Source organism: Homo sapiens, chromosome 3, assembly GCF_000001405.40.
Source record: "Homo sapiens chromosome 3, GRCh38.p14 Primary Assembly".
NCBI classification, from domain to species: domain Eukaryota; kingdom Metazoa; phylum Chordata; class Mammalia; order Primates; family Hominidae; genus Homo; species Homo sapiens.
Window position 1 is genome coordinate 19,424,888 of NC_000003.12, and position 22,751 is coordinate 19,447,638.

The 22,751-nt window shown below is 35.5% G+C and overlaps 1 protein-coding gene and 1 long non-coding RNA gene across 7 annotated transcripts in view; one reads left to right on the forward strand and one right to left on the reverse strand.

The window, feature by feature from the left end:
• The window catches only part of KCNH8 (potassium voltage-gated channel subfamily H member 8), a 387,133-nt gene that overhangs the window by 276,378 nt on the left and 88,004 nt on the right, over positions 1-22,751 (forward strand). For all 6 annotated transcript variants that reach the window (XM_017005698.3, NM_144633.3, XM_017005700.3 and 3 more), the window contains one exon: positions 13,277-13,474. In XM_017005698.3, the coding sequence (XP_016861187.1) occupies positions 13,277-13,474 (198 nt within the window). The remainder of the gene's footprint in view (positions 1-13,276; positions 13,475-22,751) is intronic.
• The window catches only part of LOC105376982 (uncharacterized), a 97,844-nt gene that overhangs the window by 35,765 nt on the left and 39,328 nt on the right, over positions 1-22,751 (reverse strand). The window lies entirely within an intron of this gene.

Genomic DNA, 22,751 nt, shown 5'->3' on the forward strand with positions numbered 1-22,751 from the left:
GCATTATGAGTATTTCAAAATAAAGTTGAACGAACTCCCTGATTCTAGGAAGAATTATACAAAACCCATCCCCACGTCATTTGTGGTTTCCCTGTTACACACACACACACAGAGGAAGAGAATGAGTTAGCCATTATATTAAATATCAGTCCAAACCCAGCTTTTCTTTTGTTTCTGATTTTGATACCTTGAAAGAAAAGGAAAACATTTAAAGTTTGAAAACTTGTAAGTTAAATATACTTCACATGACTTCCCGTTCTGTACCCTTAACTTGAGCCAATTCACATGAATTTTTCTCCATAAATGCCTTATATTTACCTGGCCTAGTAATTATTATTCATGTGCTTTGAACTGTCCTAAATGTACTTTTTCTCCATCTCTGTTCATCCAACTCTACTCATCCTGTACAGTACAGTTTGAATATTTTCCTCCTTCTTTAAACTCTTTCTGGTTGCTCCAACTAGGAGGACTTAGTATCACCTTATTTACACTTGTATTAGAGTTTCCCCAATAGACTGCAAGATAATAAAGACCTTTCTCCCTTATTTTTATATTTCACACAACAACCTGAACATTGTGCATGTTCACTAAATATTTTTTAATTGAGAGAATTTTTAATTAGCTAATTAAGGGCTAGAGACTGTCGGAGAGATGGACTCAATGAAGGTAATGTTTTAGTCCCCTGGTTCAAGGAAAGTCTCCCCTTCAGTAGTAGTGGAAGGAAATGCAAAGGGAACTGGTCTGAAGGTAAACTTGACTGGGAACAGGATGTGAGAACAGAACATTTAGGAATCAAATCTTGTCATGAAGGGGCAATTGCTGGCAAAAACAAAACGAACGAAGAAAAAACATTAACTGTATTCAGTTCAGTTCTAGTACAAAATATCGAAGATAGACTTTGACAATCTGCAGAATGTTCAGAAAAGGAAAAGCAGGCACAGGAAGTGGTGTCATATGACCTTGAAAAAGACTACCACATAGAGGGAAGAGGTTGGAGCTGAGGTGTTGACAATTGTATTTTTAAACATTGAAAATTGCTGTAATATTACTTAAGAGAATAGAAATAGGGCCAGAGAGTGGAGAAGCAACAGAGGCAGATTTGGACTCAACACTAGACTTTAAATGTGTCAGGGCTGTGACAACGCAGAGAATCATGTGTTCCTGGATTCTTAGCTCTTGTGGAAACTGGAGCCAAACTCTGCCTTCCACCAAGGCCTGGGATAGCCAGAGCCCTGGCTTTTTAGCATCTCCCTGAGAATCCCTGATGCTACTCCCTTGGTCCTGCTGGGCTATGCTCCTGCTGTGCTCTGGTGTTCTTGGACTTCCCTTTTCCCATTGTTGCTATGCCTCTTGCCACTTCTGGTACCTGGCCAAAGGTGGAGAGCTCTGTCCCTGAAGGACACCTGTAAAACTTGCCACATGGAAATTAAAACATGCTTCTCAAAATTGGAGTTTCTTGAAAATACCACCCAATGACATATAATGAAGACATTTTTCCAAATTAGTAGGTCAAGACTTAGGCAAGTGTGTAAATTAAATTTCTGTTGGCTTGTATGGTTTTGATATCCCCAAACCACTCAGATAGATATGCATATTGGGGCCCCTGATGTGCTCTGCACTAGAAATAACTTTCTGATAATCAGAATTGTCCTAAAATTGATGTGGCATACAAGATATGAAGTAAATTTTGTTTTGCCATAGATGGCCAGGGGCTAGGTGTCATTTGACTGAATGTTGTGAGTTTAAATATTAGAGTGGATAGCCGCTGAGTTTGCTGTTAGCCTCATGACCAAGTGATATGATACGGTCTTAAACAATAGGAGAGGTTGAACACCCAAAACTGTGACTTTGCTTCTTAGCAATCAGCCACTTTAGTCCTGTTCTTCTTTCCACTTTTGCCTACTTTTGAATCAAAAATATCATTGTTCTTTATCCTTTGGCATTTGTCCCTTTCATTCTATACGTTTGCTCTTTAGTCAATAAATATTTCCTTCTTCATGCAATGTGTATCTTTCTCCTTTCTCAAACCTCCTTTCCTTTCCCTTTTGTGTTGAGTTGGTGATTCAGATTTATCCATGGTTTTGATTAATAAAATGTCTCATCTCATATAATATCATAAGTGTCACAGGGCAAAGCACCAAAGGGTACCAATGGACATGGCCAGGAACAGAAACATAAAAATTAATGCAAAAGGGGTAAGCAGCCTCTATCTTCAAAAGAAGATGGGGAGTTAGATCTAGATATCGACTAGTCATATCCTTCAATGTTTAAAGGATATTGGCCCATTGTTCTGACAGTGCTTTTAAAAAAACCACTGTCAATTCTAGTTAGGTTTATCTATTTAAAACTAGATACTGTAGTTTGGTTATAATGTGAATTAAACCAGCTTTTGTGTGCCATGCTGGAGGCTAAACCACTTTTTGTCCTTCTTTCCACTGTTTCAAATCCATTGAAAAGGCATTATAGTTGCCAAATAATGGATTTCTAAACAGATAGTTGGTGTCTGTAAGTGAAATTAGAAGTCAAATGCCAATGAATGGTATGGTTAAAATGTGATTTGAAGTTCTTAGTTTATTCAATATTTTTTATAAGTTCCAAGAAATTACATAGAAAAATGGGTTCTTATAAACAAAAGCTATGAGGTTATAAATTTCTTCACAGCATAGGTATGACCTATATCAATATCTTGCAAAGTTCACAAGACAGTAACCAAAGAGTTCTATTCCTAGAAAATGAGTCATTGGGATGTTGCTGAGAGTTCAGTCTGTGGTTCCAAAAAGGTCTTATGTTACCAAAATCTTTGCATACACAGAACATTAAAACCCCTCCCACCAACTGCCTTTGGAGTAATAGCTAGGGTTTCTGGGAGAAGGGCTGGGGAAGTGTTCAGAAAAGTTTTCATGATCAATATAAAAATAATGCAAGGTCTGCAGACCACACGTCCTAGATGATGGAGACAGTAAGTAGACAGTAGACAACCTGAGAAATTCCTATTTGCAGGTGGAAGGAGAGAGCACTTACAGAGAAAAATCTACTGGGGTAGCTATTTCTATGAAAGAGATGAAGTCAGTCAGAAGTTCATTAATATCAAAACCTTGACTAACAAGAAGGATCAGGAGATAGAAGCATATTAAAAAGTGTAATGACTTTCAATTCAGACAAACCCAGATTCAAAACCTGGTCCTTCTCCCTAACAGATGTCCACCCTTTGTTGTTTTGCTTTAACCTTCTTAAGTACCAATATTTTAATATCAACATTTCAGATTGTAATACATAGTAGGATTAAATTAGATAGTATATAAAGTACTTAGCACATCAGACCATGGTCTCCTAGACAAACACAGAAAAAAGATCATTACAACATACTATTTTTATCATAGGGAATCAAGTAACAACAAAACAAATCAATGCCAGAAAATATTCTGAGTCTGTGTCTTAACCATTTAATGACTTCGGTACCTCATAATGGAAAGTGTCATTTGTAAATAAGAATGTTGCAAGATCTTTGATTTCTGAGAATGATGCAATTGTGTACATTATTTTCTACTTACGGAACTGGGATGCTGAATTAATATATAGGTTTTCAATAATGAAGGATTTTTGAAGTCTGCATAATTTTCAGTAAAACAGAAATCCCATATTTAAAAAAACAGCACCAGCAATAGTAAAAGCCTTATATTGAATGCTTGCTACATGTAATACTGCATTCTGCTAAGCGCTTTACGTGAATCATGTCACTTAACCTCACAACAGCCTATGAAGTGAGTTACTATTGTGTTCTCCATTTTAGTGAGAAGAAGACTGACAGAAAAAGAATAAGTAAACTTACATTACATAACCACTAAGAGGCAGAACTAAGACATAAAAAAGTGAGGCAACATAATTCCAAGACAAGATCGCGTATGCACTTTTATATGCTGCATTGCTTGCCTTCTGGGTTATCAAGGTTTACTCCATCACCGGCATCTGACACATTTCTCTCTACTCATGTTTCTCTTCTGCATTTCGCTGTGTTTCTTGTTCTCCTGTGTGTTGTCTCTCTGCATTCTATCTACTTCTTATTTTTCAAAATGACTGTGCCCCCCTTTAGGTCTCTCTCAGACAACGTCATTGCCCTGTGTTTACTTCAAGGCCAATCGCTTCACCAGACGCTGGCTGAAAACTTATTTTGGAATGTTCAGGCAAACTCCCACTACTTATTGTTTTTCACACCTATCAAGCCATGAAACAAAGTTACTTATATGTTTTTAAATGCATATGAGTCAGAATCCACTCTTTTTTTTTTTTTTTTTTTTTTTTTTGGAGACAAGAGTCCTCGCTCTGTCACCAAGCCTGGAGTGCAGTGGCGCGATCTCGGCTCACTGCAAGCTCCGCCTTCCGGGTTCACGGCATTCTCCTGCCTCAGCCTCCGGAGTAGCTGGGACTACAGGTGCCCGCCACTACATCCGGCTAATTTTTTTGTATTTTTAGTAGAGACAGGGTTTCACCATGTTAGCCATGATGGTCTCCATCTCCTGACCTCGTGATCCGCCCGCCTCGGCCTCCCAAAGTGCTGGGATTACAGGCGTGAGCCACCGCGCCCGGCCGGAATCCACTCTTCTAACAAAGGCTGACACCTCAAAATTGGTGTTTCCTTTTGAGACTTGGACATTTCCTAGAAACATGAAGAAAACTCCTTTAGAACAGTTTCTTTTTTTTAACTTTTAAGTTTGGAGGTACAAACCCAGGTTTGTTACATAGGTAAACTTGTTTCATGCGAGTTTTTGTACAGATTATTTCATCACCCAGGTATTAAGCCTAGTACCCATTAGTTGATTTTTCTGATCCTCTCCCTCCTCCTACCCTCTGCCCTCTGAAAGGCCCCAGTGTGTGGTGTTCTCCTGTGTCCATGTGTTCTCATCATTTAGCTCCCAGTTGTGAGAACATGCAGCATTTGGTTTTCTTTTCCTGCGTTAGTTTGCTAAAGATAATAGCCTCCAGCTCCATCCGTGTTCCCACAAGACTTGATCTTGTTTTTTTATGGCTGCATAGTATTTAATGGTGTATATCTACTACATTTTCGTTATCCAGTCTGTCATTAATGGACATTTAGGTTGATTCCATGTCTTTGCTCTTGTGAATAGTGCTGCAATGAATGTATGCATGCATGTGTCTTTATAATAGAATTACTTATATTCCTCTGGGTATATACCCAGTAATGGGATTGTTGGGTCCAATGGTATTTCTGTCTTTAATCCATCTTGAGTTCACTTTGTATATGGTGTAAGGAAGCGGTACCATTTCAATCTTGTGTATATGGCTAGTCTGTTATCCCAGCACCATTTATTAAATAAGGAATCCTTTCCCCATTGCTTGTTTTTGTCTTGTTTGTCAAAGATTAGATAGTTGTAGGTGTGTGGTCTTATTTCTGGATTCCCTATTCTGTTCCATTTGTCTGTGTGCCTATTCTTGTACTAGTGCCGTGCTCTTTTGGTTACTGTAGCCTGGTAGTATAAGTTGGGTAGCATGATGCCTCCAGCTTTGTTTTTTTTTGTTTTTGTTTTTATTTGTTTTGCTTAGGATTGTCTTGGCTATTCAGGCCCTTTTTTGGTTCCATATGAATTTAAAAATAGTTTTCTTCTAGTTTTGTGAAGAATGCCAATGGTAGTTTAATAGGAATAGCATTGAATCTATAAATTGTTTTGGGCAATATGGCCATTTTAATAATATTAATTCCTTCTATGCATGAGCATAGAATGTTTTCCATTTGTTTCCGTCATCTCTGATTTTCTTGAGCAGTGTTTTGTAGTTCTCTTAATAGAACTCTTTCATCTCTCTAGTTAGCTGTATTCCTAGGTATTTTATTGCTTTTTTTGGCAACTGTGAATGGGAGTTTGCTTGCGATTTGACTCTCTGCTTGACCATTGTTGATATATAGAAATGCTAGGGACTTTTGCACATTGATTTTGTATCCTGAGGCTTTGCTGAAGTTGTGTATCAGCTTAAGAAGCTTTTGGCCTGAGACAATGGGGTTTTCTAGATATAGAATCATATCATCTGCAAACACAGACAGTTTGACTTCCTCTCTTTCTATTTGAATACGCTTCATTTCTTTCTCTTGCCTGATTGCCCTGGCCAGAACTTCCAATAATATGTTGAATAGGAGTGGTGAGAGAGGGCATCCTTGTCTTTTGCAGTTTTCAAGGGGAATGGTTCCAGCTTTTGCCCATTCAGCCTGATGTTGGCTGTGGGTTTTTCACATATGGCTCTTATTATTTTGAGGTATGTTCCTTCAATACTTAGTTTATTCAGAGTTTTTAACATGAAAGGATGATGATATTTATCAAAAGACTTCTCTGCATCTATTGAGATAATCGTCTGGTTTTTGTCTTTAGTTCTGTTTACGTGATGCATCACATTTATTGATTTGTGTATGTTGAACCAACCTTGCATTTCTGGCGTGAAGCCTACTTGATTGTGATGGATAAGCTTTTTGATGTGCTGCTGGATGCAGTCTGCTAGTATTTTGTTGAGAGTTTTTGCATCGATGTTCATCAAGGATATTGACTTGAAGTTTCCTCTTTGTTTTACCTCTGCCAGGTTTTGGAATCAGGATAATGCTGGCCTCCTTAGGAAGTAGTCCCTTCTTCCCTCCTTTTTGGTTTTTTGGAATAGTTCAGTAGTAATGGTACCAGCTCTTCTTTGTACATCTGGTAGACTTCAGCCAGAAATCTGTGTGGTCATGGGTTTGTTTGTTTGTTTTGTTTTGTTTTTTGTTTGGCAGGCTATTTATTGCTGCCTCAATTTCAAAGCCAGTTATTCACCTGTTCAGGGATTCAATTTCTTTCTGGCTCAACCTTGGGAAGGTGTATGTACCCAGGAATTTATCCATTTCTTCTAGATATTCTAGTTTATGTGCACAGAGGTGTTTATAACATTCTCTCATGGTTCTTTGTTTTTTCGTGGGGTCAGTGGTAATATCACCCTTATAATTTCTGATTATGTTTATTTGAATCTTCTCTCTTTTCTTCTTTATTAATCTAGCTAGTGGTCTATTTTATTAATTTTTTCAAAAAACCAGCTCTGGGATTTGTTGATCTTTTGAAGGGTTTTTCGTGTCTCTACTCCTTCAGTTCGCCTCTGATTTTTGTTATTTTTTAACTGCTAGTTTTGGGATTTGTTTGCTCTTGGTAGAACAGTTTCAATACAAAGCTAAGGTAAACAAAACCCAGTGAACTCTTTAACAGGTTATTTGTATACAATATTCAAGCATATTATATGGTCTAATTTATTTTACATGTACTTTTATGATTCAGATGTTAGAAAATGCATCCCCCTCCAATATTTTTGGAAAAAAACGTGATTAGAATTTTCTTTTGAAGTTTTGCAAACCAGGGAAACTTGAGATTCCTTTTCAATAGATGACAACACCCTATCCTTTTAAGTTAAATGGCTGCCAGGAAACTACCAAAAACAGTTGAGAAATGATGTGCAAATTTGAGACGAGACCTGTCACTTCATTTTTCCTCTCTAGCTTTTCACCAGCCTGAAACTTTGAGAAAAAAGAGAGGACAATAAGGAAATTTGGGGCAGATTATTAATGTGAACTTTAGCATATCAATAATAAAATAATTTGCCTGGACTTAATTATTTTTATCCCAAATTGTCTTCCTAAAACATGTTTTTGTCCTGATGTAATGCAAGTGATGAGTACTTTCAGTTAAAAAATTCTTATTTAGTAAACAGTTTCATTTGTAAATGATACTCTGAGCTCAGACACAAATGTATGTCCCACAAACCTATTTAAGCCACGAGAAACACTAGAGCAACTACCCATGAAATAAATGCCCATGTTGGGGAACAGATCTGAAAGCATTGTGAATTGTAAGTATTTTATGTAGGAAAGTTAAATGCAACAGTTCATAGTTTTATGTTCTGCCAACTTAACCATGAGCCTAATCTTTGTTATGCTTTTTTCTATTATTAGCTGAGATTTAAGAGGCATTTGGAAGTGCCCCAGTTAGCTGGAAACAGATGGCCTGTTCTTTCTCTTCTTAGAATCAACCAGAGAGCTCTACAGTAGCTGCTCAACTGTGGCTTCAGATTGTTTAGGGTTTTTTTGTTTGCTTGTCTTTTGTTTTTTTTGGGGGGTTTTTTTGTACACATGATGATGCCCTATTTTGGCAATTTACGATACTGTACAATCTTTCAATTCATCATTGCTTAAGTGAAATGCTATACTTTAGTAATCAATGTTCAAAAACTTCCTATCGTACAAACTTTTCAACTTTTATGTAGACTATTATGAACTGGCAACCTCTGGACTAGTTTAATACAAGTGGCACATTTTTGTGACAGTACTAACAGTATATAATATTGCTTGCCCTGGAAGGTTGTATAGCAATGGAAATAGAGCACAAGTGATACATACATGAGAATGTGAAAATCTGCCATCTTTATCCCATCAATATTTGCTGATGGATCTTCCCTCAAAGAATTAAAACAAATGAAAGATAAATTCAAAAAGTCATACTTTTTACACAGAGTTTTGCTTTTAAAAAATGTCAATCATTTGTGAAGAAGCATTACAGAATATTATTTCACAAAATCTTAGATGTGAAAGCGAACCTAGAGATTATTCAATCCAATCACTTCATATTTAAGTTTAAAAAACTGAATTCTATGAAGGATCACAGAGCTACTCAATTAGTAGCAAGACCAAGCATAGGACCCCAATTTCCTGACTCAAAGTCCAGTCTTTACTATTTTATGATTAATTACTTTTGTTTCAGGTGTTTATCTCAAAAGTAGATTGTACTAATTCAGAAATGTAAGACACTTCTTATTTTGTGAGAATCAGACTGACATTAGTGGGAATTCCAAGTCGTAACTGCTTTCCTGTCAAACTGGGACCTAAATTTACTGATGCCTTCTGAGTAAATCAACAAATAACACTAAATGCCGTTACGGCTTTGTGCCATTCTAGCCTTATCCTTGATCACATCTCATAAAATGGAAAAGGGGTGAAGGGTTGAGAGTGAGCTTTGGGAACTAAGTCTCTAACCTCTTTGGCTCTATTTCTTAAATTAAAATGTGAAAAATTTATAGTTTAGTTAATAGTAATGTACCAATGTTAATTTTATAGTTTTTACAAATGTGCTTGATAACATAAGATATCACCACTGGAGGAAACTAGGTGAAAGATGTGGGGTACACAGGTGCTCTCTGTACACTTTGAACTTTTGTGTAAATCTAAACTTATCTCAAAACAAAAAGTGTTTTTAAAGCAAAACAACAACAAAAACACCCCAAAAATTATAGTCATGGGCACTAGATTAACCTTGAAGCACAGAGACAGATATGTAAGTATGTTTCTTATCAATGATGTTTGTAATCAATGCTATGAAGTATAGATATTTTAAGAGCAATAGAGATGAAATCTCAAGCTTTTCTCTGATATTTGCTCTTATTAAGTATTTGTAGCAGTAACAAATACTTCACCAATAACCACCCCACCCTCATCTCCCTTACACAGACATAAAGACACTCAGACTTCTGAAACTTATCCTGATATCTCTCAGTCACTTCTGCAGCTGAGTAGTCCCATGCTTCAGGCCCTTGCCTAGGAGGCTGAAGGGGGTGGAGAAGCTCCCATGTTATGCCCCATCATAATCATTTTCTTCCAGTGCTCTGCCTCTCCCAGCAAACTGCTTGCCACCTTTTGCATCACAAAAATCACAGTGCTTTTCCACCTCTCATCCTAATGAAGTCCACGAGGATGATTAAGTGGACCTTCAGAATTGTGGAGAGGGGGGAAACAAATGTTAGTAAGAGTATTTTTTTATGCTTGGAATTTGCATTTGACACTTCTTAATTACTGTTAAAGTAATATCCAGATTCTAAATATCAAGGCATACTATGTTTATATTGTAGATTGTGTTTGGATAATTCTATTTTCTCTGGTATGATGTTATGCTTTTGGGACACATTTTCCCACTAAAGTGGGAAGTGCAAACCTATTTAATAATGATCTCAACACAGCACAATTTAAAATGATAATTGGAAATGATCTTTTGTACAGCATCACGAGATAACTATACAAATGAACTCTTGTATGGTTAATAATGTATTTAAAACTTGAAAACTGCTAAGAATAAATCTTAAATGTTCTCACCACACACACACACAAAAAGACAACAATGTGAGTTCATGGATATGTTACTGGGCTTGATTGTGGTAATCATTTCATAACGTATATGTATATCGAAACATCATGTTGTATACCATAAATATATACAATTTTTGTTTATCAATTATACCCCAATAAAACTGAAGAAAAAAAGAATCAAAATATGCCCAAAAGACCACTGGAGGAAAAAAATACAACAAAATGATTACTTCTGGGTTAAAATTCTGATAATGCCACTTTGAACAAGTTACTTAATGTCCCTGAGCCTTATTTTTCACATCTTTAAAGTAGAGATAACAATTCCTAAGTCTTTGTGATTATTAATGAAATAACGAACCAAAATGTGGGCTGTAATTGTACCTATTCCATAGGGTTAGTACACGTAAATGAGATGGGATGTACCATTTTCGCAGAGTATCTAGAGCACAGGTAGCACTTAATAAAATGTTGACCATGTGCTAACCTGCTAACAAGGAAGCCCTCACATGGGCTCCATTCTTGCTGCTAGCTAACTTCTTTTACAACATGGCTCATTCATACCATATTAAGTAGAACACCATTTTGAATTATAGGTGTGATTAAGTACTTGCTGATTATTTCTACCCTTTCTCTCCACACACATATCGTTTAGCAAACATCTAAATCTGATTTAACAAGCTTATCTTTTACTAGGTGGTTTTTCATATTACTGAAGTGTTTTATATAACCACAGAGATTCTCCATAGTTTTTCATTAAATAACTTGCTCGCATTCCTTATATTGAACCTAAAACATGTTAATTTACCAAATGCTAACATAAATCAAAGTTTTTAGGAACACATCTGTTGTATAAAACAGATCACACCTGTACACATTGTTAATGCACACATATAAATAGTAAACCAAAGTATATTATTGTAGGAAATCTAAAGAGTAAAATAATAAACTCCTATTTAGAGTTAAAAGTATGTAATTAAGCAAAATACTGGGTCCATGGTAACTATGCAATCGAAAAATACATCAACTGAATTATCATGCTAATGATAAACTCTTCTAGGAATGACTGTGAAGTCATTCTGTCTTTGAAATTGATTATTTATTTCATAAACCTATTGTATTCATGGAATCTATTTTACTAATTATGAGATTATTTTATGATACCTTTTGTTTTTATCATAAGTCAGTGTCCTCAGTATATTTAGATTCTACTTTATGTTGTGTATGTTTTTTCATTCAAAATGTTCTTTAGGAAAAAAAAAATTTGAGCAGAAACAGGCTGTCCTAGGACATCCTTTCCTTTAGAGACATGAGTTTCTCCAGCATAAAAAAATGATTGGATTCCAAATTGGTTAAATAGCATCTTCTGTAACAGTACAGTCACATGTTGTCTTGTTACCGTGGAACATGTACTGTCATTTCAGAAGAGCCATTCTGTGAAAAAGTTTTATTTGGCCCACATAGCCAATCCTCGGATTTGTGGATGTTACCTCCTTTCTGTGTTACCAGTTTTTTTCATCATCATTATTGCTTCTGCTTCATCAGCTGTAACACAGTTTAGGGCAATCCTTTTAAAGAATGAGATGTTTCTCAAAATAGACAAAACAGTTGGCCAGACAGAAAAGAGATATCAACAAAATTAGGTCAGTTGTTTGTCTGTGTGTTGCTCCCTGAAACACTTCAGAGACACACCATCTCACACATGTGTAAATGAACAGACATTGAGTAAGCATATCACCTGTGCATTCCAATACAAATTTTTATCCTATTTTATTAAGGAAAGTAAATGATATGCAAAGTGATTTCATTCAGAGAATACAGGACCAAAACAACCAAATAAATTCTTGGTTCGGACCCTCTTTAGCAAGCCCTCTAGGTGTTTCTGATGCAAGCTAAAGGTTGAAAAACACTCTGTAGCAACACAGAAGGAATAAGGCACAGTACTTGCCCTTAAGCACTTCTCCTTGGTCTCAAGGAATTCCCAGCTGCTTCAAATTTGCATTTTAATTACCTAGCACAGTTTTATCATATATAAGCTTAGTTGATAATGATAATATTATTACTGCTTAAGAGTGTAATGGTTTTTCATCTCTTCTTGAGCAGTCATTCAATCAAGTGTTTATTAGAAAGTAGTAGTTAGTATCCATTACAAAAATCCTTATGAATCTTATGAGTTGAGCTGCATTGTTATTGCTTGTTGCAACACACACATAGAGAAAGAATTATAAAATATAAAATCTTAAGGGACAAATATTTTCAATAAAGAATTTTAAAGTGATTTTTGTGTTGTGTTTAAATTCTAGATAATATTATTAAGCTTATACTTGCTATCTTCTCATGTTTATTAATATAGGTTGTTTACAGCTTTCTGACAGCACAATTAATATACAATTAACTATACATATTTATAAAGCATTTAATTTGATAAATTTTGACACATATATACATAGTATCATAAAACAGTTTGTAGAGGGGCTTTCAATTCTAATAGATTACAAGTATTCATTACTTGTGCAAGTTTTCCCCCTTCCAACCCTAATTTCGAAGTGGGACTGCAAAGAAGGCTTCCTGAGTAAAGTAACATGAGCTGAGATTTGTAAAACAACTGGATACCTGCCCAAGTGAATACAAAGGGGAAGAGTTTTACAGAATGGAAATAAAGTCTATCTCACCCAGACTTCTAGACTTCTCACCTCTGACATCTAGACTTATGGCTGTTGTAACTTATCATCACATTGGGTTTTGAAATATTTACTCAATTTCTTTGTTTCTTCTTATAATTCCAAATGAGATGAGCTTAACAGGGCAAGTGAAATAAACAACACTGTTTCTGAGAGTAGCCATCCCTGCAGTTTGTTTCTTGCATTAGAGTAACTTGTTTAGCTTTGACCATCAATCCACTCTGGAATTCATATTTATATGCTGTGTGTATTATAGAGAACAGCATGAGTAAAATTATATTTTCACTTTTAAAGAATGAAATCTAATAGCTTGCCTTTAATTTCCTTTTTACCTTCTTCTTCCTCTGAGCAAATTATTACCTCCCCAAATGTTCATTTATCATTACTCCCATGTGTTAATACTGAGACTTTACTTTTTCTTCTCTCATTTGCTTTATTTCCTCCTTTGCAGGTTGGCTTCATGAGTTGGGAAAGAGACTGGAATCTCCATACTATGGCAACAATACCTTGGGGGGCCCGTCGATCCGAAGTGCCTATATTGCCGCTCTGTACTTCACGCTGAGCAGCCTCACCAGCGTGGGTTTTGGGAACGTCTCTGCTAATACAGATGCAGAAAAGATCTTCTCCATCTGCACCATGCTGATTGGTGGTAAGAGAGCATCTTCTTTTATACTAAGAAGAGGAACTATGCCTACCTAACTGTCACTGCCTGTTTGTTCTGTCCTGAAATACAAAACAGATAAACTGATTAACACTGGAAGATTCTAAAAGCACTAATTAGACAGTCTAGATGCAAAGCTGTAGTTGTCTCTGTGGTTCCATGTAAAAAAGGACTTGAGAGATTAACACACAAGAGCATGCATTTAAGAAGAATGGAGCAAGATTAACACGTGGGGCTCCTCTTATGTAGAATCATTACCTCATCCAGCTTACTGTTTTATCCTGCAAAGGTAAGATGAAGTAAGAGGTGGCTATGTAGGCAAACTTATAATACACATTTGCCCTGCCCACTAGGATATGTACTCTGGACAGTGGCTTAGAACCTGAATTTTCCTAGATCCTCCAACTTACTTTTACATATGCCCTCTTTCTGGTCCACATTGTGGCCTTGAAACTATGGATCAAGTCTGTTTCAGACTCTTCACTCAGTTTCTTCATCTTTCAAATGAGGTATTAGGCAAGATGCAACTGTGGTTCTTTCTATCTCTGATGTAATGTTATATGACCATAAATATCATTGCTTTCTATAAAGCAAGGGTATTAGTAAGATCCAGCAGTACTTCTCCCAATAACAAAACAAATTTCATTTAGATGTGAATTGTATTTTCAGTCTTCGCACTTCTCTCCCTAGGCAACTCATTTTATAAGACTCAATGAAAGAGGGTGGTTGATTCAGCAAACATCTATCCCCACTCCTGGAATGAAAGCCCCAAATACACTTACTTTGGAAAGCTCAAAACATTAAAAAATTAGGAAATTTGCCCAAAATGCTCTCTAGAGAATTTTATGACAATCAAAAACAGGAACAAATATTTCTTATATGAACATAATGAAATAATCTGCATTTTATATTTCTCTTCAAAGAAATCAAATTTTTAAAGCATTAAGCATATTTTTTAAAGCCAGTAAGTTCAATATTCTGTTTAACTAAGAGACAGCTATGATTCATAAATATACATAAAGTCTGCAAAAACTGAGACTCATAGATGGCAAACGTGAGGAGAGATGGGAAGACTTGACAAGAGGGTCTAGCATGTCAAATCTCAGAAAGCATCAACAAAAATACACTTCCTAAGTATGAGGTTCATGATCCAAAGTGCAAAAGCTATCACCCTCCTTTATTGCAAGTAAGAGCACCAAGTGAGCAAGTTTGGTGGAGAAGTAGAGAAGGCTCAACTCACAAAGAATCACACGGACCATTCATATTTGCAGAGATCATGCTAACAACAGACAATAATTCAAAATATATTAATAAAGTTATTGCTGTTATTAAAGAAGACCACAAACAAAAAGTATCTTAGAAAAGATATAATAACAGAGGTTAAAGATAAGCTAAAATAGCTAAGCAAAGACGTAAAAGAAAAAAGCAAAGCCATCTTATGCACAAAGATAAAATTGAAGAGAAAAAAGGGAATAGATATTGCAAAGAATATAATGAGTCATAAAGGATAAAAAGAAGGAAAGCAAAAGGAACTGAAGGGAAGGAAGAAAAAGTGGAGAGAAAAAACAAAAAGAGACAGAGGGAGGAGAGGGAGAGAGATAAAGGATGGAAGGCAGGCAGGCAGGCAAAAGAAAGAAAGAAAAAGAGTGAGTGACAAAGACAGAAAGAAACAAACTTAAAAAGAGTAGAGAAATCCCTAACAGTAGAAAGCAGGCTAAGGAGAACCAACATATGTATATTGCTTGTTAATACATAAATAAATTTTAATAAGAGTCAGCAGATTCAAGGGAAGACTTTTCACTATATAGCATTTTACATAATTTTTTAAAAAAATTTTGATAACATGAATTATTGCATGTAATTTTTTTAAGCAAGAAGAAGAGAACTAGCTAGATAGAGGCACAATAGAAAGGAAGGAAAATAACAGGCTTGATTCAACCATTTATGTATTCAAATATTGTATTAGTTAATTCTCACACTGCTAATGAAGACATATCCAAGACTGGGCAATTTATAAAGAAAAAGAGGTTTAATGGATTCACGGTTCCACATGGCTGGGGAGGCCTCACAATAGTGGTGGAAGACAATGGAAGAGCACAAGCACATTTCACATGGTGGCAGGCAAGAGAGCACGTGCAGGGGAACTGCCCTTTATAAAACCATAAGATCTTGTAAGGCTTATTTACTATCAGGAGAACAGCACAGGAAAAGCCTGCCACCATGATTCAACTACCTCCCACTGGGTCCCTCCCCACAACACGTGGGGATTATGGGAGCTACAATTCAAGGTGAGATTTTGGTTGGGGACACAGCCAAACCATATCAAGTGTATAACCAAATACTTACTGAATGTCTATTATATGCCAACACCAATACAATAATAAATAGTGAACATTTATTAGTTGTTTTTATGTTCCATTCTCTGTTCTAAGTGTTCTGACATAATACCATAATTTTTAAAGCAAATCTTTGGGGTTGGCACTATTATTATTTCATATAACAAACAGACAATTTATTATACTATTTTCTCTGGACTCCAAACCCACCTTTATTTATTTGCTTTGTAATGCTGGGGTTTGTACTCTGCAAAACTCATTCTTCTTCGCTAGCTGACCTCAGTTGCTTTCTCTTATGGGAGGAACCAAGGGAAGACTGGCAGGCAGGAGGAGGGGAGGAGGGACTGCCTGCTCTGGTGTGCATGCTGTTCCCTCAGTGGAGGCGGGCACCTCAGCAGCAGCAGGTGGTTTCAGCCTTCATTCTCAGAACCAAACTGATTGGACCTCCTCAGACAATCTTGCATCAGTCAGGGGCACTATCTTGTCCAAAGAGAACCCTGGCTCCCTGACACTCCACACAGCTCCTGCTCTGTGTTTCTATGTTCTGATAACTGCACTTCTTCCCTTTGTGTATCCAGCCCTAAGGGTTAAGCCTTCTACATTTGCTATGTCCATGTTACCTCTATGCTCCCTTTTTATTTATTCAGCCTTCCAACCCCAGGAAAACCAGTTCTCTATACTGAATTACTGCTGTTGAAATATTTAGTGTAATTTCTTTCTTCTAAATCTTCCAACTGATGCAGATTGATATTATCCACATTTTTCAGATGACAGATCTAAAGTATGGAGAATTAAAGTAACTTTCCCAATGCCACACAACCAGTTAGTAAAGATGCAAGGTTTGAACCCAGGTGCATACTTACTTCTCTCCTTAAATATGTAAAGGGAAACTTTACTGAACTATAAGACTGCTGTGATGGAGTATTAGGAGATGTTGAAGTCTACCTTGATCAAGTAAGCATTCTTCTTAGGCTAAAGTTCTGTTAATATTTTCTGCCCCACAATATTCCCCTCAAAGCCTGTTTTAGCATGTCCTCTTAATGACCTTAATTCAAGATATCACTTTGAGTTTTGAACCTTATAATAGGAGATGGCTCCTACAGGCTTCCTTGCATGAGAGATGTGATATGAGTGTGTGGGTCTTAAGCAATGGATCACGCAGCATACAGTGAAATCAAAGAAGTATAAAAACAAACCTTCCCTCAAAGAGCTTATGATCCAGTTTGGAGGAGATGGGCTTAAACATGTGGAAAGAGTTTTAATGATACCAGGCAGTAAATGCTAAGTGCCACATCAGTTAGGAAGTTCAGAAGCAGTGAGAGTTTCTTGGAAAGACAGTGCCATGGCACAGTTGTTCAAGTAGCATGCTGGGGCTGCAGCAACTGTAACAAGCTCTTGGCTGATGTAGAGCAGTGACAGCCTAGGGAGCAGAGAACAGGAATTCTCATTTTCTGAAGAGCTACAATGTGCCAGGCCCTGTGGTGACTGTTTTATATCCAGCGTTATGACTTTTATAATTTCCATTCTCTGTGATATCCCATATTTCAGCCAAGCAAAATCACAAGCATTTTGCAGATAAACACAGTCTATACTTATTTAATACTTGCCCATGTTTCTTCTACTCCTGATGATAATTTTGGGAAATGCTCAAAGCCTAATTCTACTAATTTGACATTTCAAAAAATCCATAAGATAATTGAGCTTATTATCTATTGATCCACTTACTGTATTGTGAGTAGTACTGAATCAAAAATTGTTAATGCACAAACTATTCCCTGCTGTTCTCTGTAGGTAGGTGCGACACTGATCACAAGGCCAAAAGATGTGGGAAATAATCTGATAATGTCACTTTGTTTCTTGTTTGTTGAATGTTTATTGAGCAAATGTCCTGGTGCAAAATCAGTGCTCATTGGTAAGTGGCATTAAAAAATTTAGGTGACCCGAGCAGCACTTAGGAAACTATTCATTTGAAAGTCAAATGCCATCTAAGTGACTTGAATTTATTAGTTAAAGCTTTTCATATTTGTGTTTGTGGGGAAATAATTTTATATTATTGTGAAAATTACCCTGGCTAGGAAAAATGATGCCTGCATTTTAATATTTCCTAATTAACTAATTAATTGTAAAATGTTGAGAACTAATCATAAGAGCTCACACTATTGAGCACTTTGTTCATTTAATTCTCATAATACTGTGAGATAGAGATTATTAATACCCCAATTTAGACATAAGGCAGAAGAGATTTAGTGAGTTTAAATCCAGGACTCACTAAGACCTGGCAAACTTCTTCTAAAATATTCATTTTATTATGTACTATAAATTTATTTTGTTTACTTAATTTTTATAAATATAAACAAATAATTTATTTTTAAAAAGAAAAATCTAAAATTTGTGTTACCATAGACTTAAGTCTAGGGTATCTCACTAGGAATCCCCCACACAAGGCTGATGAAATTGCTAATGGCAAGGATGCAATATACTAGAAAAATCGGCAGTAGCAATATTAAATGAGAAAGGGGACTGGCAAAACTCCAGATAATTATCAAGGACAGAGATAATATTGCTCAGTGAGAAGAAATGGGTGAAAAAATGCTGAATGGATCCACCTAGGAGTCCTCTGGGAACCCACCAGAATTTCCACAGGAGTTGTACAGGTTTTATTTTATATATATATATAAATATACATATATACACACACACACATATATATACACATATGTGTGTGTATATGTATATAAACATAAACTTTATATATATGTGTATATATAAAGTTTTCATTTAAGATGCCATATAAACTTCCATATAGGCATCTGTAATTATGGAGTGTACAAACCACTAATATATGGGAGGAATATTTAAAACTATAAATCAGAGAGATTTAAAGCAAAAATAGTTTCTAAAAATTATACATAGACAAAACCATGTGAACTTTGAGAACACCCAAAACAAATAAGTAATTCTAATAGCTTCAGATGAATATCAGAATTAATGAGCGAATTCAATAATGTTTATGGACACAAGATCAATATGCAAAAAATCAATTGCATTTCTATATACTAGTAACAAATTAGAAATAAAATATAAAAAATGATTACAAATAATTAAATATGTATGAATAATTATAACTAAAAATTTGTAAGACTTCTATACAGAAAATTACAAAACATTAGTGAGAAAATAATGGAAGGATGTACAATGGTGATGGTTGCTAACAATGGACTCACGTTGCAAAAATATCAGTTGTATTCAAAGTAACCTAAAGACTCAATGCAATCCCAATAAAAATTCCAGTAGATGTGTGTTTGTGTGTGGGTGTGTTTGAAAATTGACAAGTTGTTTCTAAAAATCAGTGGAGAAGAGCTAAAACCAGTCAAAGCTATCATGAAAAAGAACAAAATTGGAAGATTTGTGCTACAGATATCAAAATGTATTTCAAAGTTACAGTAATTAAGAGTGTATGGTGTTTGTTCAATAACAGACCAATAGGCCAATGAAATAGAAGAGAGTTCAGAAACAGACTCACACATGTTGTCACTTCATTTGTGATACGGATGCTACTTTCAGTAAATGTTGTTGGGCCAAATGTATATCTACCTGTTGGAAGACAACCTTGGTCCCTCTTAAAACTGTACATAAAAATTAATTCCAGGTGGATTTTGACCTAAATTTAGGAGGGAAAACAATGAAACTTCTAAAAGGTAATATAGGAGAATATTTTTTATGACGTCTGATTTGGCAAAGGTTTCCTAATCATGACACAAAACGCCCTAGCCTTAAAGGAAAAGAATGATAAATTGAACTGCAGAACTTCTTTTTTATCAAAAGACCTTATTATAAATGTGAAGAGAGAAGCTACAGGATAGGAGAAGATATTTTCAAATGTTTATCTGACAAAGGACTCTCATCTACTATATATAAAGAACTGTTAAATCAATAAGAAAAAAATCAATCAACGCCCTGAAATGGGCAAAAGCTTGAAAAAAACACCTCAGAAGTAGATTTCCAATACCTGAGTAGATGACAAACATATACAAAGGTGCTCAATGTCATTAATCAGTAACATGCAAATTAAAACCAAAATTAGATACCATTTTTGTTCACCAAAATGATATGTTTAAAAACACTGCAACCCTAAGTGTTTGAGAGGATAATGAAACACCTTGACCTCCTCTCCTATACTGTTGATGGGCATGTCAGTCGATACAACTTTGTCAACATCTACCATATCTGAATATACCTCTACTCTGTGATTCAACAATTCCACTTCTGAATATATAACCAATGGAAATGCATACATATATACTTCAGGTTATATACACAGATGTCTATAAAAGCATTTTTGTAAGAATCTCAAACTGGGAATGTCCATTAATAGGAGAATAAATAAGTAAATTGTGAAATACCTATTCAAGAGAACATTATACACTAATAAGAGTAAATGAACTACTATGTCATGGAACCTTATGGATAAATCGTACAAACTCAATGCTCAACAGAGAAGCCAGACGAAAAAAAGTACATATTTTATGATTTTGTTTAGAGAAAGTTTATAGATAGGCAAAGCTTATTAATTGTAATATAATTGGTAACTGTGGTTACCTTTGGTGAAGGGATTGGTTAGTGATTGTGAAGGGGACACAGGGAAGCCTCCAGGATACTAATATTTGGTTTATTTATCTCGGGTGGTGGGAGGTAGTGATTCTATAGCTATGTTTACTTTGAAAAATCTCAATGAGCTTCACATTTAGCAAATGTGTAACTTGTTCTGTATGTATCTTTGATTTTAATTTTACCTTGTAAAATTTTAATAGATGAGCTAAAAATAATATATCAAGCATGAGTTAAGAAGCTAGCTAATAGTGAGCTAAGTTCTTGCCTTTCATATCAGATTGTTTTTAGGTTTGTCTTAACAATAATGAGTCAAGCAATGGAGTACAATTATGTTGTCCAAAATTTTGGTGATAACTGCAAAAATACCCAAAAAAATCATTTTAAAAGGTTGACTTTAGCGAGTGAGATGGGGATGAAGGGATGGGTTTGGGGCTGGACTATTTATCATAGATTTTCTAAACCATTTGCTTACAATTATAAAACTTTTTAAAGAAAGTATCAAACTACCAGAGGCACATTGCAGTTCCATAAATATTTATGGCATACTTAAATTATGCCAAGAGCTGTGCTAGATGCAGGGAAAACAAAGATGACTAAGATATGATACTTTATTTCAAGGAGTTCACAGTTTAATAATGGAAATAGGTACTTAAGCAGATGATGTCCTTTGTTATTTCTATTTTTTTCTATTATAATGCACATTTAGAAAAGACTGGAAAACAAAGAGAAAAATAAAATTACACAGTCTCATTATCAAAAAATAGTTTTCCAGAATTTCCATACATATATAACTATTTTTTGAAATATGTATGTATAACTATTCATATTTTTCACAACCAGACAAAATATACAGAAAAGATTTTCTCATGTCTTTAAAAATTCTTTCATACTAAGCAGTGACTGCTTATAGTCACCTAATGAGTTTGCCCCAGTTGATAGAGTCATCAGCACAGCCTTGGAGGTTGGATAAAGCTTCCTAGTAAAGATCGTTCATCACTGATAACATATTCAGTTTCAATGAAGCATTATTATCACAAAGTAATCAAGGCTTCCCTCGGGTCCCCCCACTGAATACACACACACTACCCTGACATAGTTTTATTGGACCCATATGATGAGCTATTGTGTTCACAAATTCAGGCTGTTCTCAAGATGTCTTTGCACTGCCATTTAAATTCATTATTTAAGAAATTTTTCTCATCTCTATTCTTTCTGCCATCTGCCATCCACAAGCCAGTGTACTTATAACCAAGAATGGAAATTTCCAGGGCAATGAGGAGGTGGGAAAGAGAAGGAGGGCAGCTAAGATTACCCAAAACCTGAGCTCTGGCCTCCTTTTATATCAGTAGAAAACACCCCCTACTTAGCCTCCAAAGCCATTGCAAAATAGTTGGCTAAAGTAATTAGCAATGATGTTATACTCCAGGAGATAAGTGTTGTCCAAAATTCAGGAAAAGAAAGAGAAGGGGGAAGAAAAAGGAGAAAGGAAATGAAAAGAGAAAGGAAAAGACAAAGGGAAAGAGAAAGAGAAAGAGAAAGAAAAAGCCAGGCAGTTCTATAGAAGCACTTCTTTCATTTGAGAACTGCTTACTTTCTTCTTAGATGCCAATTGTTGAGGTTCCTTCCAAGACCTGATACTGAGATGAGATTTTACAAAATGCATTTTATGCAAAACTCCAACACACAAAAAAAGAGACGCCCACACACTCAGCAGGTCTAACACTCAAGAATTATATACATCAAATTTGCTAGAAATAAAGGAAAAGTAAGTGATAATTTCCAAACTGACCTGGATATAGAAGTTCTTGAGTCAAACTTTGATAACAGATGGAATGATGTTTCCTGACAGTTACACACACTCTTTGCCAGGGTGAAATGATAACCAGTGACAGAATGGTCATAATAACTTTGGAAAATGAAAGGCTATGAGGACCAGAATTTTATTTTTTTAACTACTTAAATTAGAAGTAGTTATCTATGCTGAAATGAGACTTTGAAATTGTGGTGACTCAGACATAGACTAGTACTTTTCAACAACACTTATGAATGCTACAATTAATCCAGTAATTCATTTTACTAATAAAATACAACTAGGATGCTAAATAATCTGAACATATTACTTCTCTTACTTTAAGTGCTTTACACATTATAATTAGCAAAGCAAAGTTAAAATCATACACATAATTAAGGAAAGCAGTGTTAAAATAAATGAAACAGAATTGTTCTCTGTACTCGATTTAATCTCCATGGAAAGACTATTACATAGTGTTAAAGATGGTAGGGCTTCCAAACACTTAGCCCATAAGTATATTAAGGGT